General features: G+C 39.7%; 1 long non-coding RNA gene across 1 annotated transcript in view, besides 2 other annotated features; it reads right to left on the bottom strand.

Moving 5' to 3' along the window:
• BALR6 (B-cell acute lymphoblastic leukemia associated long RNA 6) overlaps nt 1-18955 on the bottom strand; it is a 306371-nt gene that overhangs the window by 168777 nt on the left and 118639 nt on the right. The window lies entirely within an intron of this gene.
• Nucleotides 315-1514: an enhancer, noted in NCBI's record as "P300/CBP strongly-dependent group 1 enhancer chr3:18140124-18141323 (GRCh37/hg19 assembly coordinates)". NCBI's record gives its function as "activates an origin of replication core promoter dependent on BRD2, BRD4, P300/CBP, MED14 and CDK7 cofactors, with strong dependence on P300/CBP, by STARR-seq in HCT116 cells {active_cell/tissue: HCT116}" and the evidence as "EXISTENCE:reporter gene assay evidence [ECO:0000049][PMID:35650434]".
• Nucleotides 774-1409: an enhancer, noted in NCBI's record as "NANOG-H3K27ac hESC enhancer chr3:18140229-18140864 (GRCh37/hg19 assembly coordinates)". NCBI's record gives its function as "activates a minimal SCP1, AML or CMV promoter by ChIP-STARR-seq in naive and primed H9 embryonic stem cells {active_cell/tissue: H9 hESC(naive and primed)}" and the evidence as "EXISTENCE:reporter gene assay evidence [ECO:0000049][PMID:30033119]".

Below are 18955 nucleotides of genomic sequence, written 5' to 3'. Positions count from 1 at the left end.
TGTGCTAACACTATTTTTAAAGCAATCATAACTAAGAAAACATGTAAAATCCCTACATGATTCATTTTTCATTGGCTATGTGGCAAAATATTTAGTGCTTTGGTTGAAGAGATAAGTTCTAGGAAAATACTAGGGGGAAAAAAGGAGTCATATGTTTCATTATCAACCAGTGGCAATTTTCACACATCTCCAGAAGAAAAATATGGGATATTTCTGAGATTCCCCAAGTCACCTCACACTAGCTCTTGCTACTCAAAGTGTGAGCATGAGCCTCACATGGGAGCTCGTTAGAGATGCAGGTTCTTGGGCTCTGTGTCAGACCTACTGATTCAGAACCGGCGCTTTTAAACAACCCCAGCTCCTTCCTACACACAGGAAACTTGGAGAACCACCGCTCTGGACAAATCTCAGTTACAGCACCTGAATCCTGACAGAGCAGAATTTTAAGTCCTAGCACCACAGCAACACTTGGGGTTAAAAATCACACATAAACTCTTCCGTAAAAACTTCAGAGCCCAGATAGCAAACATCTGTGACCCAACACAAAGCTGCGTGGAATTATGGCTGTCTGAAATATAGCACATAATCCAACTTCAAGTAAGGTTGAAATTCCGCAGAAGGTTCTCGAACTATTCTTCAGGGACAGACCTACATAAGCAAATGAACAGTCTGTCACAGCAGCTCCAAGCCAGAGAAGAACTTGGACCGGCCATTATTGCTTCAGTGAGGAAGAGTATGAGAAAGGGTGTGGACAGTCTCAGAACAGGAACAGGAATGAGAAGGGGGAGCAGAAATGGAAGCAGAAAAGTGAGAAAGCAGTTTACATGTCCTGGGGAGTCCATCGTAGGTCACAAACCTCTAGAAAGAGGAGAGAGGGAAGAAGCAGGAGGGGGTAAAGATGACATTTTGAGGCTAGGTGAGTCACATGGGCCCCACCAGGCTGAATGACTTCACGCCCCAAGGAATAAATGACTCTTTCTTGGCTCTCCTCAAAGATATGCCACAGCACATCATGAGTCACCAGCCCACCCTGCAAACTCCTGCCATTTCCTGCCAGCTTTTAGGGCCAGAGGACTTGCCCTCAGGCCATGAGTCCCATCAGCATTTATATGCCAATTCCAAAGCGGCACTTGTGGGGAAAAAAGGAGCCAATTTGCCTGGTTTACTTTAAAAGAATCATCTGAAGGTCTTTAACCTATTAACGATGCACTGACAAACCCTGAGTTTGTCATTATTGGAAGTGACGCTGGGGCCAGAACTGAGATTGCAGATTGATTGATTTTTTTAATTTACTATTTGTTCATGGGGAGGCTGGCTTCTTTATTGTGGCGGCACCTGCTAGTGCCATTATAGTTACAAGGCCTGTTGGAGAGGCTTTATGGTGAAGGCTTATTTCTATTATAAATACTGGTTGGTGTGGGTGGTTAATATCCCAACAATTTCTGTTATACTGGGTTCAATACAGTCTGGCCCACATTGTTAAGTCATACATATCATCCTTGCACACAAAAAAATGAAAAACTAAATGTTATGCCAAAATCAACATAATTAAGTTACAGAAGAAATATTATCCAAGTCAGTCCTTAAATTAATCATTAACTTCAGATGAAGAATTATTAAATTGAGCTCTAATAACTAGAAGTAATATAATATGAATATACTATAAATATATATATTTGATTGCTAGAAAACTACCTATCTCACACAAGCAACTCAGCACACATTTTCATTTGCTCAAAGAATAATTATACTATTCATATCCCAAGTTCCCAAATTCAAATTGATGCTATATTTATATATATACTACCTGCTAGCAAGTGTAGATTATATTTCCCTATACTAATACCTCAAAATGGGTTTTACCTTTGGAAAGTGAAGTTGCTAACCGCACAAAGTAGTCCAGTGGTTAGGAGCACAGGCATGAGGTGAAATATACTTAGACTCTAGTCCCTTTCTTGTCGTCAGCCCCTTTCCTGCTATGTAACCACGGTCTGGTTAATCAACCTCTTGACAGTTTATATTTCCTCATTAGTCAAACAAAAGTTTTAATAGCATCCACCATTGTTGTTGTAAAGACAAACTAGGCAATAGATGGCTAACTCAAGGTCAGGGTAAAGAAAGTACAAAATGAACCTGGAATATCTTTTTTCTAGAAAATATGAACATGCTTAAAGAATGATGGATACATGTGGGAGAACAACAGTCCATGTTCTAATCTCCAGACCTCTGAATATGTTACTTTACATGACAAAAGGGAATTAAGGTTGCAGATGGAATTAAGGCTGCTAATTAGCTGACTTTAAGGAGTTTATCCTGGATTATCCCAGGTGTGTCCAGTGTAATCACAAGACCTTAAAAGTAGGAGAGGACGGCAAAATAGAGATGAGTCAGACTGAGGCTTGATGATGCTAACCTGCTGGCTTTGAAGATGGAGGAAGGGGCCACAAGCCAAAGAATGTAGGCAGCCTCTAGAAGCAGGAAATGGCAGGGACACGTATTCTTCCCTAGAGCATCCAGAAGGAATGTAGTCCTTCTAACATCTTCACTTTTAAGCCCAGTGAAGCCAATTTCAGAATTCTGACCTCCAAAACTGTAAGATAATAGATTTGCCTTGTTTAAACCACGAAGTTCATGGCAACACAGTTATAGGAAACTAATACACTTGTCAAGCAGCTTACATATATACCTAGAGAGAGAATGATAAAACAACTGTTAACATTTGAGGAATCTGGATGAAAGGCATAAGGAAATTCTCTGTACAGAATTCAATTTTACAATATGTCTGAAATTATATCAAAATTAAATTTTGAAAAGGAGAAAAATAAGTTTCTGTAGGAAGGTGTCAGATCCTCAGCACCCCTCTCCTGCTTCACACAGCCAGGCAACTAACTATTCCTTCCTGGCCTTCAAAGGAGATCAGAGTTTTACTCTGTTAAGAAGCTATGACCTGGGACCAACATGCAAGCAGAGATAGGAAAAGAGGCCCAGTATTGGGAATTGGGAATTACAATAAATTCTACCTGCTAAGTGGTGGGTCCCTGCTAATTCTTCCTCCCTCCACTAAGCTTCAAAACAAGCAGCCAGTTTTGATGTCCCCACCTCCTACCCACTGACAGAAGTTTGAATTACTTCTCTCTGGAGAAAGTAAGCAGTCCTAGAGACAAGGCCTACAGAAACAGAAAGTCAGAGGCCCCCCCAGTGATAGAGCAAGGCCACTGCTCAGTGAAGCCCACAGGTTGAGGGAATTCACATGCACACACTGTGGTAGGCAACAATAACGGTCCCTCAGAACTATCCTGATCTAATCCCTGAAACCCGTGAATATGTTAGGTTATATGACAAAAAGGGTATTAAGGCTGCAGGTGGAATTAAAGCTCTTAATTAGTCAACTTTACAATAGGAAAACTATCCTGGATTATCCAGATGGGCCCAATGTAATTGCAAGGACCCTTACAAGTGGAAGAGGAAGGCAAAAGAAGAAAGAGAAAGACGTGACTATGGAATAGAGTGAGTTACATGATATGAGAAGGACTCGAATTGCCATCACTGTCTTTGAAGAGGGAGGAAGGAGCCATAACCCAAAGATCGCAGACAACCTCTAGAAACTGGAAAGGTCAAGGAAACAGATCCTCCCCTAGAGCCTCCAGAAAGAAAAGCAGCCCTGCCAGATGGGCGCGGTGGCTCACGCCTGTAATCCCAGCACTTTGGGAGGCAGAGGCGGGCGGATCACGAGGTCAGGAGATCGAGACCATCCTGTAACATGGTGAAACCCTGCCTTCTACTAAAAATACAAAAAAATTAACCGGGTGTGGTGGTGGGCACCTGCAGTCCCAGCTATTCGGGAGGCTGAGGCAGGAGAATGGCGTGAACCTGGGAGGCGGAGCTTGCAGTGAGCTGAGATCGCGCCACTGCACTCCAGCCTGGGCGACAGAGCGAGACTTCGTCTCAAAAAACAAAACAAAAAAAAAACAAAAAACAAAAAAAGAAAAGAAAAGCAGCCCTGCCAACACGTTGTGTGTTAGCCTGATGAGACCCATGTCAAACTTCTAGCCTACAGAATTGTGAGATAATAAATTTGTGTTGTTTTAAGCTTTATATCTGTGGTAATTTGTTAAGGCAGCAATAGAAAACTAATACACACACACACATACACACACACACACTCACACAGAGACAGAGAGAGAGAGAAAAAAAAACACAAACAATTCAGAAGGCAATAATGTTCCCAGAGAAATCAGTGGAGATATTACATCTATGAAACAAGAACAGGGTGCTCTTTATTTACTGTATTTATCTAACACTTATGCAGAACTTACTAAGTGCCAGGCACTGTACTAAGTGCTCCACAAATATTAAACCATTTAATTACCATAACAACTGTATGAGGTAGGTATTCTTATCCCTATTTTACAAATGAAGAAACAGGCACAGAAAGGTTAAATAACCTTCCCAAGATCACACAGCAGAGCTGAGTTATGAACATAGGCACTCTAGCTCCATAGTCCATTCAAGAATACTTAGGAATTTAAAATATAATGGCAGAAATTGAAAAAAACATTACTAGATGGGTTGAAATATAAAGTTGAGGCAATATTTTAGAAATAGATATATATAAAGAGATCAGAAATAGAAAAGGAAATATAAGAAACCCAGCAAATTCAACATCCAACTAATAATAGTTTCAGAAAATAAGAACAGAGAAAACAGAGAGGAAGAAGGTATTTTTAAAAACATTCAAGAACATTTTCAGAATAGCAAGCCATGAATTTCTATATTGAAAGGGCTTATAGAATACCCAGCACAAGAAATGAAACATAATTATTATCAAGACACATTGAAATTTCAAGACAGCCTATATAAAGAAGTCCTAAAGGGTTTCTTAGGGGCAATATAACAGATCTTATTTTAAAGACTGCAAAAATAATGGTATCAGATTTCTTAATGGCAGTGGTGAAAGCTAGAAGACAAAAATGCTGTCAAAATCTCTGAAGAAAATGTGTTCCATATCAGAATTACATACCCAGACAAATTATCAGTCAAATGTGAGATAGAATAAAGACATTTTAAGATATATAAGGTCTCAAAAAATTACCTTTCACATACTCTTTTCTCAGGAAGCTCATGAGGATATTATACAAGGAAACAAAATCAAAAACAGGAAAACATGGGAACCAGGGAACAAGCAATCCCAAAGATGATGGTAAAGGAAGGTTCCAAATAATAGCTGTACAGTGGCCTGTGGAGCAACTCACCCATACATAAACAGGAGGGTAAAGAGTTCTAGTCTCCTAGAACAAAAAATAAAAGTAACTGGTAGATTACTTGATGTGTTTCAGTAAACTGAGAGAAATGTTAATGTTTTTAAAGAGTTTGAAGAAATAATTAGTAATAGTTACATGGAAAGCTAAGTTTTTAAAAGAGAAGCAATTATTAACTGCAAGAAAAATCAAAAGTGCTATACATTTTTTTCGCCTGTAAACAATAATTATACTATCATAATAAAGCAAGTGCTGAAATTAAATTTTTCGAGGGCTTTGAAACAGGTATAATGAAAGGATGGGAAAGTGGAAGAGGTGTCATAGGAAACCCGAGTCCTCATCTTCCAAGGCAGGAAGTCAATAAATAATGTTTACAACTGAAAATTCAAGATACTGAAATGCAAACTTTGCATTTGAAAATATGAAGGTAAATAACAAAAGAAACACTGAAAATAGCTGAAGTGGTTATCTCTGGGGAGGGGGACTTCAAAATAGGAGCGGTTAGAGCAGGAAAATAGTATGTTCCATTATGAATTTTGTACGATTTGATTTTTTCTCTTCTTTTTCCCCTTCTTTCAGTTTGTTATACTATACACAAGCATCGTTTTGATAGTAAAAAATAAACATAAATGCCTTGAACAGGATTTGGTACATAGTATGTGCTCAATGAATATTTGATGCTGATGTTTTTGCTACTGTGATCTTTATTAAAGCTGCAACACTAAAGTGAGAATCAATTCATATTCTGCATGACAACCCTAAGATAAGTTCTTTTATACCTCTCTGTTTCTCCATTCAAAGAAAAAAAATACTTAATGAATCAAACTCTCGATAAGGTATGTGTAAATCTTAAAATACGCTAAAAATATTGAAATTCAATTCTCTAAAAACATATTGAATGTTTTCATTAGATGTGCTATGGTCTGAATGTTTGTGTTTCCCCACCACCCACCAAAAGAATTCATACATTGAAACCTAATCTCTCATGTGATAGTATCAGAAGGTGGCAGCCTTTGGAAGGTGATTAGGTTATGAGGGATCTGCCCTCATGAATGTGATTAGTGCCATTATAAAAGAGACATCAGAGAGTTAGCTAGCCCCTTCCACCATGTAAGGATGCAGCAAGATGATACCACCTATGAACCACAAAGTGGCCCTCACCGGACACCAAATCTGCCAGCATCTTGATCTTGGATTTCCCAGCCTCCAGAACTGTGAACAACAAACTTCTGTTGCTTATAAGCCACCCAATTGATGGTACAATATCGAGCATAATAAGACTGAGTGAGGTCACCCAGGAAATAGATAGAGGAGAACCAAAGATTGAGCTATGGATCATTCCAGCATTAAGGGGACGAGGAGGTAGAAGAAAACTGACAAATGGTCTATGAGGTAGTGGATTACCAGAATAGCATCTTATCCTGGAAACCAAATGAATGATGAGCAACCCAGTATCTTCAGATGCTATGCATGTTCAATTTTTTGTAAAAAAAAAAAAAAATGTATTATCATTGTTAAGAAAGAAGATATAAAGAGTAAATATCCTTGAAATTCTATTTAGGTAGAAGTAATCACAAAACATCTGAAAAACTACTCCCTATTATGTGTAAGTATTTATATAATAACAGTTCTGTATACTCACATATTTGCTATTATCTATTTTGTTATAGCAGCCCAAATAGACTAAGACAAGCACAAAAAAAGTTTAGCTAGCGGTGTCTCCTATTAAGTTGTCCCTAGAAAGCTTCAGATCTTATCTCTTCGTTTATTATTCATCACTCCATTTAGTTAAAATACAGAACACCGACTATGTGCCAGACACTATTCTGGCAAAGGATCAAATAAGACAACATTTTCTACCTTTAAGGAACTTAAATTCTATTTGGAGAGACAGAAAGAGATTTTGAAAACAGGGACAACAGAATTTGTTGACCAATTTTATGTGTGGGAGAAAAACAGGAATTAAAAGTGATTTCGAAATTATTGACCTAAGCAACTGGAAGTATGAGTTGTCATCAATTGATAGAGGGAAAGCTGGGAAGGAGCAGGCTTTGGTAGGAAGATCAGAGTTAAGTTTTGGATTTAAGATTGAGACGCCTATTGCAAATTCAAATTCAGATGTCAAGTAGGCAGTTGGATATACGAGTCCAAAGTTAAAAAAAAAAAAAGTCTTCTCTGGAGATAAGATGTTTTAATCATTGACATATAAGTCAGGGTTCAGTGCAGAACAGAAAAACCACTCAAAGTATTTGAGGCAAAGCTAACAAATTTGTTGGAAGTGCTGAAAGAACAAAATTCAGGGAACACCACTGGATTTTCTATTCTGAAGTCCCTCCATTATATCTGTAATCCAGAAGGCAAGAAACTGCTAACCCTTACATGCCTCACATCCATGAATTGGCAAAGAGACATGAAATGTGCAGCCAGCTGCTGGAAATGCTCATGTCTGTTGGAACTTGTATGTCAGGTAGAGCTGCCATAGAAAAATGGCTTCAATGTCTTTTCTGTCTTTCACTTCTCATATGAGTACTTCTTGTTAGCAGAACCTAAATTGTATTCATAGTTCAAGCCACAAAAGAGTCTTGGAAGTATAGTTTTTAGCCTTCCACCTAAAATATAGAGGGAGAATATAAAGGCAGACATTTGGGTGCCAAAGGACAACAGACAATATCGAGCATAATAAGACTGAGTGAGGTCACCCAGGAAATAGATAGAGGAGAACCAAAGATTGAGCCATGGATCATTCCAGAATTAAGGGGATGGGGAGGTAGAAGAAAACTGACAAATTGTCTATGAGGTAGTGGAGTACCAGAATAGCATCTTATCCTAGAAACCAAATGGGTGATGAGCAACCCAATATCTTCAGATGCTATGCATGTTCAATTTTTTGTTAAAAAAAAATGTATTATTGTTGTTAAGAAAAAAGATATAAAGAGTAAATATCCTTGAAATTCTATTTAGGTAGAAGTAATCACAAAACATCTGAAAAACTACTCCCTATTATGTATAAGTATTTATATAATAATAGTTCTGTATACTCACATATTTGCTATTATCTACTTACAATTGTATAGAAATGAATTATATGATTTTATATGATTTTATAATCTGCTTTTATCAGCCAATGTAACATGGCCATGTTTTCACAGTCAATAGATGTATATTTACATCATTGTTTATTCCAGGATGCATTGTATAAATATACTATATTTATATTAATATAACCATTCCCCTATTGATGGACATTCAAGTTGTTCCAGTATTTCAATATTATATGCAATATTGCAATGAGCATCCTTGTTAATATGATATAAAATTTTCGATATCTAAAGCTTCTTTCCATCAAATTAAATATTTGAGGGTAGAATGAATCCATTATATTCAGAAATGGTCACACAGCTGCAAAGCCTAAGAAAAGAAAATAATTTGGAATGAGATGATGTTATTATAAAATCTAGCTCCTGGTCTTGGTGTCATGAAGTTGAATAAATAAAATATATTCTTATACAGTTCATATCAAGTCACATGGGTCTAAAATTTGGTAACTATACCAGCACAGATGCCCTTTTGAAACTTATTATGCTATATCAACCTACAGTACTATATTTTTAGAACACTTAGAAAATCATTTTCAATAAGTTTCTTTAGCATTATAATTTGATAGTTAAATCAGTCATCAATGCTCTGTAGATATAAAATTAAAATATTTAAATAGAGTACAATTCCTACTGCTTGATTTTCAATGTCCACCAACTCTGGGTTGAGTATTGTAGGAAGCAAGAGGAAAATAAAAATTCATATTGTGCTTTACTTAACCATTTGGGCAGGCAGACTCGAAAAGCTTACAGACATTCTTGCACTGTGTTTATCATCCTCCAACAAACTATTTCACTAACAAAAAATTTATTGGGCATAGGGTGACTTGATATCTCTCCCTTTCTGTGTATAATATTAGCCACACTGTGTAGACAAACATGAGTATAAGTGTGAGTGTGAGTGTGAGCCTCTATAAATAGATACCCACACAGTCTCTGGATTAAGTGTACTATATACAGAAAGTGTGAGGTGTTATTGGTATGTAAAATAGATCTTAAAATTGTGAAGCAAATTATATCATAAGAACACTAGGCACCAAATGGTAAACAAACATAAACAAATAAGCTTTAAATCATTCATCTCTGTTTCCAAGAATATTAAATCTAAGTCTAAAGCCTTCCTATTTCCTTTCCCTTTTTGTAGGCTGTCCTTCCTTGTCTACATTTCTTGATATATGTTGGCTTCTTCAAACATTGTACAGCCATAAAAATCTCAAGGAAACATTTCACTACTTGACAGACCATTCTGAACTTGGCTGGCTCCAGGAGCCATGGGTGCCATCTGTTTACTACAACTCCTTAGGCATCCTGAGGGCTCTTTTTCCTCTACAGGAATGATATTAAGGGCTCTGGAAAAAAAGCCATTACTCTTGGGCCTCCCTAAACAGCCAAGACTCTCAAGGACCTTCAAGTTCCCAGGGCCATCAATGGGACTTTTTTAGAACCTGTCAGCTGTTAGTGGAGAAGGAGGATCAAACAAGAAGGCATAAATAGTTGCCCCTCGTTGAACCCTTAAGTCAGGTTCTTCAGAAAACTGATTCTGACACAAATTTTGGTGCAGGAGGCTTATTGGGTGTGTTTTAGAGATCAACACCTGTGGAGACATGAAAGAAGCAGAACATGGAAGTGGGAGAAGTTGGATTTTGATGCAGTTGCAGCAGAGGCCTCAGCCTATCCCACAGGGAGCTCTGGAGCAATAATGGCTCTTCAGAGTTGTCCCTCATGGAGGCAAGGGTATCTGGCCTTAGTGCCTTTACACTAAGGATGGATGTCAGTGGATGAAGGCTGCCCCCTAGGAAGGGGTGGAACCTGGAGTGGGGAGCTCTCTTCGGCTGAGGACAATTCCTGAGCAGAGCCTTAGCTGAAAGCCAGCAGCACCCATATTCCCTAGCAGTAGAGGGGTGAGTGCCCAAGTCCTTAAGGGAGTTGTGGGTAGTACACTAAGACATCCACTACACTATCCTACCCTCAGGAGTTTCCTGATGCCCCAGAAAGCCACCTCTAGAGCAGGACTTTAAACCTGAAGAAGTGACCACCATCTTTAGACATGGGAGAGTGGTAGAAAGGCAGTTATTGTAGAGCAGAGGTCCCTTTTGGCACCCAGGACAGGCTTCATGGAAGACAATTTTTCCACGAATGGGGTTCAGAGGAATAGTTTCAGGGTGACACTGTTCCACCTCAGATCATCAGGCCTTAGATTCTCATAAGGAGCACACAACCTACATCCCTCACATGCACAGGTCATAATAGGGTTCATGGTCCTATGAGAATCTAATGCCACTGCTGATCTGACAGGAGGTGAAGCTCAGGCAGTAAAGCTCACTCGCCCTGTGTTCACTTCCTGCTGTGTCTCTGGGTTCCTAACAGGCCACGGACTGGTACCATGGCCCAGGGGTTGGGGACCGCTGTTGTAGAGGAACCACCAAAGTTCAGAATTTCCCAAATGCAGAGCCTCAGCAACCACAGACACAGTTACCATGAAAACTGCTGCAGCAGGTTTTAAAAGGTTTTAAGGAGCATCATGAGATCTGTAGTGAGGTTGATCTAACTGAATAGATTTTCCTTGGAGACATGAAATTTTCCTTGGGTAGCTCATACCAGGATATAATCAGCACCATTTATACCTGAAGTTTCCTTAAATGTCTACACAGGTATTCTGTCCATATCCTTGAGCCCACACCTGATATCACAGGCAGTACCCACACATATCAACAGCTTCCTGCATCTTTCTACCTGAAAGTGCTCCCTGGCCCCTGGAATGCTGGGCAGATTGGAAGAGCTGGGGATTTAATACCCCAGAAGAGACCCTCAAATACTCAAGGATGGAAGTTGGTCTCCTCGCCTCTTGGTGACACAATTCCAAAACATGTCCTGCACAGAGGTCCTCTGTTGTCTACTCTTTCAGTCTTCTCATAATACACCATTTGCTGGCTCTCCTTTCTTCCCTGATTCTACCACTTTCTCCCTGGTTCCTAGGATTACCTCTTAATAAATGACCTGCAGCCAAATCTTTGTCTCTACATCTGCTTTGGAGGGAACCCAACTTAAGGGGATACGTGAAAGTTATTTTCTTCTTCAATGATCATCATCATTATGATGAAGTGTCTCGAAGTAGGGTGTAACTATATCCCTGCTGGGGAAAAGCTTTTGCCATTTCTTCACCTTCTTCTCCAAAAATTCTGGAGAGTAAATCCTCTCTGGGATCATTTTTTTCTGGCTCTTTACATGTAGAAAAGGATAGAGGGGTGAGTGGATACATAATAGATAAATAATGGATGGATGGAAAGATACACAGAAGATAGATAGATATAGATAGATAGATGATAGATAACATAGATGATAGATTAGATAGATGATAGATAGATAGATGTATTCTCATGTTTTTATAACTATTCTTGTCCATGTACCCAAGGTCTATAAAATTTCTCTTCAGAGAAAATTCTAGCAGTGTCACATCTTTTATTTTGGCTGGCTGCCATCCATCCCCCTCCTTCTGTGCACAGCATCTTGGATTCCATTTAAGGAAACGGCCCTACCCACACTCAGTCCCTGTAACCACACTGGAGCTGAGCTTCTTGAACCACAGCTCTACAGTTCATCCACAAACACAGGCTCTGCAACATCTCTCACCTTTTTGAGCCTCCTTCTCTGCCCCGTGGCTTCCTGTTGCACTTAAAATAAAACTCTGACTCTTTCCCTGATCTAAAAGTTTATGGGTGACCTGGATCTACCTACTTCTCTGACCTCATCACACACGCCTCTTCCCCCAGCTCACTCCAGCTCTCTCTTCTCACTCTTGCCAAGCTCATCTCTGCCTTAGGCCTTATCTGGAGAATTCCTTTCCCAAATTTTGTTTACCTTATGGCTGCTTCTTGTCATTCAGTTCTCAGACCAAATGTTACCTGGTCAGAGAGGGGCTCCCTGACCACATAATCTAAGGTAGCCAACCCCTTGTCACTACCATATAAGCCTGTCATATTTTAATCAGAGCCCATAACAATACAAAATTATCTTTTGGTTGATTTACTCATTTATGTCTGATGCCCCTATGAAAACATAAGCTCTATGAAGCATGGATTATATCATTCTTGTTCACTTTATTATCCTCAGCACTTAGAATAGTACCTAAAACATAATAGGTATTCAATAAAAATATTTAAAATAATAAATGAATGAATGGAGTATTTCCTGCTTATATATACATAGAAAACACAGGCTTTCAGAAACAATATAAAACCTCTACTCCAAAAAATATTGATCATTGTTTTTAAAGCACCCTAAAAATCTTAAAAATCTAAAAGCAAAAGGATTATATAAATACGGAATATAGCAATCATTAGTATGACTATTGGTTATCAGGTTTCAATTGTTATTCCAGATTGTCTAGGGCTGTAAGATCTAAAATTCCCTCCAATTCCAAACTTCCTTAATACCATGAATTTTGTTATCTCAGACTGAGTTACTTGTAGCTCCACAGTGTTAAAGTAATAACAGGCTAGTAATAAAATAATGTAATGACAACAAAAGCAAGAAGTTAATGTCGCTCTTTTCTTTGATTTGCAGAGGTCCTCTAGATGGGAGACTGAAAGGCAGCTGATTTCTGAGTCAGGCAAAGTCCATCATAGTTATGGATACTTCAAGTCAAATCAGAAAAATGTGCCATCCACGGTTACCCATGAAATATATATTGATAGATACTGCCAGGCAAGGAGGAGGGAGAAAAAGGTGTGCCAGCAAGGATATGTGACTGTGTTGTCTTAGCAGGACAAAAAGGAGCGAAGCCTGAAAGATTTAGCCCTTCAGAGTGACAACTTGGAGAGCTTGCTGTGATTTATTTGACAAGGAAGAGGAGGGTGACTCCCCTCCTCTACAGAATCAGCTCCTTGATTATAAACACTCAATAACTTTCCGGTTGAAAATGCATTTTCCCTCTTGCCTATACATTTCTGACGCCTGCTTTATTATTTCCTATTAGGAAATGCTATTTAATTCCATCCACAGCTTGGCGACCTTTGTGTGGCTTCCCCATTTAGGAAATTTACAAGTAAATCACCAAGAAGTATGTACACATACACTTATAAAATATACATGTGCTTGTAAATGAAAATGCACCAAAAGGAAAAAAAAAAGAAACAAAGCTACGTGCACTGCAAAAACCAGGCATATGTGCATAAGAGGTGGGAGGCAGGTGTTTGGGAAATCTTCACACCATCCCAATATTTTTCTAATGGTTTCCATTTTCAATGCAAGGGAGAATTTGGAAAATATTAGCCACTGTGGTGTGATCTGAGCGGTGACATGTAGCTGGCAACGTTGTGGGTGGTATCCCCCGCTTTTTTTCCTCTAACAAAGAAATAGGGTGAGTTTATTAAAGCATAAATGCCATTTTCATCCTGCAATGTTAACTGTGTGGCTGAGATCCCTGAGGTACAGAGGCAGTCAAAGCAAACAGCTGTGCCACCTACTTGCAACAGTTGTACGCCCACCACACGGCACTGAGGGGAGGAGCAGGTCAAAGAGAGCCATAAAGAGGATGGGGAACCTTGCTTAGCTCGCTCCACGTTAGCCCGAGGGAAAATCCTGCCCTTCGGAGGGTAGGTATTTTGTGTGTGGCTCAGAGCACAGAGCATTCTCTTGCAACTTGTCTCCTATAAACCACCTACTGCATTTTTATATTCTACAGTCACATAGACCAAAACAGTGTTTAGCAAATTAACAGAAAGCTAAATAAAAGACATATCACCCAACCTAGCAGGCAGCTTGTCGATGATCCTGAGTGGGGGGTGGCAGTAACTGTTTTGGTGGCAAGTGGTTGCTTCGCCATCCAAGTCTCTTTCTGGGGTTTAGGAAGAACAAGAGCTCTGGCCAAGCTGTTATTAGGTTATCTTTGCAGAGCCTAAGGGTGGCCCCATGCCTGCCTGTATCAACAAAGGGTGCAGTGGAAGAGCTCATGCAGAAGGAAACTGAGCACCGCTTTGCAAATGTTCCAGGGCAAAGAGATCTGCTCTCTCTCTCAGCTGCCTCCTCAGCCCGTGAGAGGTGGTGGAGAGAATACTATCACACACCCTCAACACCCCAGGACAACATTCCTCTCAACCTTTTCTGTGCTTAAGAGAAATTTGATCTTTCTCCCTTCCATGAAACTCTCTCCTACCTTGATTTCCTGGACACCATTCTCTCCTCCTTTCCCTTAATCACCTTCACAACTCTTCTTTCTCAGCAGGGCTGCTCTCAGACATTGGTGCTCTTCCAGTTTCTTTATTATGTCCTCTTCCCACTTGATAACACTTTTATTGGGCAATTCCCTTCTCACCCATGAATTACACTTCCATCTTTACGCTAACGACACCAAATCTTTTATTTATTTGCCCAACGTTGCTCTGACCCATATATATACAACTGCTTAGTAAATATCGTTACTGGACAGTAGAGGTCACAGAATTTCTATATCAGAGAGGTTTAGAAACAGTACTCTAAAGGGAAGGGGAGGGCTGGGCTTATCTTGAAACTACCTTTGCATAGCATAAACTGATTTTACTACAACTGTGTACATCATTAGAGAAGCCAACTAGAAGGTTAATTGAAACTATGAGGAGGCTATGACCCACAAGCCACCCTTTGGCACCACCACTGACATTTGGATGTCCCATATATAGGCTGAGTATTCTTTATCTGATACGCTTGGGACCAGAAGTATTTTGGATTTCGAATATTTTCAGATTTTGTAATATCTGCATTATACTTACTAGTTCAGTCTCCCTAATCTGAAAACCTGAAATCCATGAGCATTTTCTTTGAGCATCATGTTGGTGCTCAAAAGTTTCAGATTTTGGTGCATCTTTCACATTTTGGATTTTCAGGTTAGGGATACTCAACCTGTATATCCAAAACTCAATACAAACACATCCAAATCCCTCATTCCATTTCCCCTGTCCTAGGAAATGGTACCCTCATCTACCCAGTCATCCAAACTCCAAAATGGGCATGTCTTTACGTTTCTGAGTATCTCCTCAACATCCTCCCTCCAACATTTTACCCTGGGTCATGAAATCTGGGGTCAAACTCAGTCCTTTTTTCAGGGCCCTGCCCATCTAACCCAGCCTTCAACCTCCAGGGGCTTGGCCCTGGGTCTACCCTTGGCTGTCAACTAGCTGGGCTCTTGCTCCAAATCAGAAAATTATCCTGAACCACAATGATTCCTTTCACACACACACACACACACACACACACACACACACACATATATATATATATATATATATATATTTTTTTTTTTTTTTGAGACAGAGTCTCACTGTGTTTCCCAGGCTGGAGTGCAGAGTGCAATGGCACGATCTCGACTCACTGCAACCCCCGCCTTCCAGATTCAAGTGATTCTCCTGCCTCAGCCTCCCAAGTAGCTGGGATTACAGGAGTGCACCACCATGCCAGGCTAATTTTTGTATTTTTAGCGGAGACAGGGGTTCACCATGTTGGCCAGGCTGGTCTCGAACTCCTGATGTCAAGTGTTCTACCTGCTTCGGCCTCCCAAAGTGCTGGGATTACAGGCGTGAGCCACTGCACCCAACCTGATTCTTTTCCTTTCATATGATTGTAAGTATCATCACTGCCCAGAGAATTTTGCTACTGTGTCCTGCTCATTAGATCAAATGTTCTTTGGTACTGACCTTAGTCTAGAAGAAGCATCATTCTAGACACTGTCAAATGAACTCCCTTCAAGGGCTAGCTCTACAGATATGTCCGTCCAAGCTTTTTTTCCTTTCATATTGGCTCCCACTGAAGCCCCAGTATGTTCCTCAGCCAAGCTAGCTTCTCAGAGTTTTAAACAGGCTATATTAGTCAGGATAGGACAGGCAGTCCTGCTGTAACAAAGTTTAACACAACAAAGGCTTAATTCTTGCTCATGTCAGAACCTGAAGTGGATCAGATAGTAGTTGTCCTACATAACATCTTTTCAGATGGCAAATTGAGGATCCAAGATGCCTTCACTTTGCAATTCTATTGTCTGGAATACTTGTTCCCAAAATTGCCAAAGCAGGAAAAGTGAAAGCATGGAGAAGGTTTATCCCCTCTTAACTGCCTCAGACCAGAATTGACATGGCACTTCTATATGCATTCCATTGTTAAGAATTAGCCACATGACCCAACTACCTGCCTTGGGGCTGGGAAGTATAGAAGACTTGGATGTTTGATGAGCTCTAATAAATATTATTTCTGATATGGTTTGGCTGTGTCTCCACCCAAATCTCATCTTGAATTGTAGCTCTCATAATTCTCATGTGTTGTGGGAGGGATCTGGTGGGAGATAATTGAATCATGGGGGCAGTTTCTCCCATCCTGTTCTTTTGGTAGTAAATAAGCCTCACAAGATCTGACGGTTTTATAAGAGGAAACCCCTTTTGCTTGGTTCTCTCATTTCTCTCTTGCCTGTCACCAAGTAAGACATGCCTTTCACCTTCTGCCATGATTGTGAGGCCTCCCCAGCCACATGGCACTGTGAGTCCATTAAACCTCTTTTTCTTTATAAATTACCCAGTCTCGGGTATGTCTTTATCAGCAGCATGAAAACAGACTAATACAATTTCATAATTACTTCAAGAAGCTAAATATTATCTCCAGGGCCTGAAAGAGATAAAAACAACTTAGGTTGATCTAAGAATCATAGTTATCTACATCATAACAGTTGGCCAAGTAAAACAGAAGGCTGATTTGAGGATACCTCCATATGCAACTCATGCTTGGAAACTATTTAGAAGGCTAACTGACATATAGAGAGTCTGCTTCAGTAGATGTTCCTGATAATGAAATAATGCCTTGTTTATATTTAGGGTGAGACTGAGTAATTGGTGGCTGTCTGACAAACCAGCAGAAACCATACAGACATTCTGAAAAGTTCATTAAAAATACACATTTAAATATACGAAAATTACTTGTGACTCTTTTCCCGCCTGCAACATAATTAAATAAAACTTTATCTGACCATTTTACTTGTATGCATTATGAACTCCAACCAGTGCTCTCTTCTTCCCAAGACTTTAATAGGCCCTTATCTGTTTGTACTAATTGAGTTTTCTCATACTGCCACATGGGCAGTAGCTAAAAGAAGATGAAAAGTCAGATCTGATATGCCTATGGGATGGTGCTAGGGTTCCTAAAGATCTCTGAATGACCTCAGATCTTTGGGGCCTCAGATTCAAAATCAGAGGTTTGAAAATCTCATGCCTTCATACTAGATGATCACATCCATACACACACACACATTTTAAAAAAAAACCTGAAATATTCATAAGGGCCAGATGACTGCATGAATGAGTGGAACAGCCTAGGTGGAAAGCACATACACCATCAAGCTCTGCTTAATTCTAGTGAACAGCAGTGGTTCTCAAATGTAAGCATGCATCAGAATCACCTGGGTGGCTTATTAAACAGAGACTGCTGGGCCCCACCCCCAGAGTTTCTAACAAGTTCCTAGTTGATGCTGATGCTGCTGGTCTAGGAACTATGCTTTGGGAACAACTGGTTAAGAAGAAGGTGGGCTCACAGTATTGTCAAATCTTTTACTTTTTCAAGAGAAACTGGAAATCTGGATTGATATGTGAAATCTCCCCATTTTAAAAATCTTGGCAATGAGTTCAAAATTATTTTTAAAACACTGTGAGGCAGAGTGTCTAGGCTAGATTTTGCCCTTCATCTGCCTGTTCACAACTCTACCATAAGCCTTTGATCAAGAAATGACAAACACACACACACTCACACACACACACGTCTTTGTATGGGAAGGTGACATCTTTAATTTAGCACCCAGCTTTTGAGGACATATCAGCCAGGCAGAGGAGCCAAATAACTTTAGTAGTACATGAATGAGCAAGTATTAATGTCCTCTCATTCTTCCTTCCTATCCAACAGGTGACTTTGTCCCCTGTCACCCTAAAAGCTGCATTTGCCTTAAAGTGGATTACGACCCTTATAATTATATTAGCCTGACATTCCCAAAGTAAGCCTCATAAACCCTTTTAAATGTTGCCAAAAAACATATACTTGAAAGACATGGATCTCATTTGGATCAATTTTTTTAAATAGGAACTCCAGGAATTTCCACCTAGCACATCTTATGCACAGGTTTCTATAATGCTAAGTTCTGTGTAATTTCACAGGCAACAACTGGGCACTCTTGATGTGCCAGATGCTGTATGGGTATTGATGGTGCAGTGACGTACAGCCCCTGACAGCTCTGTCCAGCTCTGGGTTCCGTGACATCTAGACTTGGAAAGTTGGGAGGGCAAGGAGCAGAGAAGAGGGATGCATGCAGACATAACTCCAGGCTTCATCTGTTTTATATGCATTTGGGTTCCACTAAAGAATTTATTGGGAAAAAAGGTCTCTCTGGGTAAAAATTTGACCACTTATTTAAACAATGATTAAACACATCAAATATTATTTTTGTTCCTTCACTTAGATGGATCCAAACTCTCTGGACCATTCAGTTTCTTTCAAGATGGTTTAAACTTTGAAGGCCAAACCACGCAAAGTAATTGTTTCTAGTGTGGAAAACGCTGGGCTATTATTCTAACTATTCTTACCAGGCTATATAAAAATAGAACA

This window comes from Homo sapiens, chromosome 3 (genome assembly GCF_000001405.40).
Source record: "Homo sapiens chromosome 3, GRCh38.p14 Primary Assembly".
NCBI lineage: Eukaryota > Metazoa > Chordata > Mammalia > Primates > Hominidae > Homo > Homo sapiens.
This window is presented reverse-complemented; position numbering and strand designations above follow the sequence as displayed.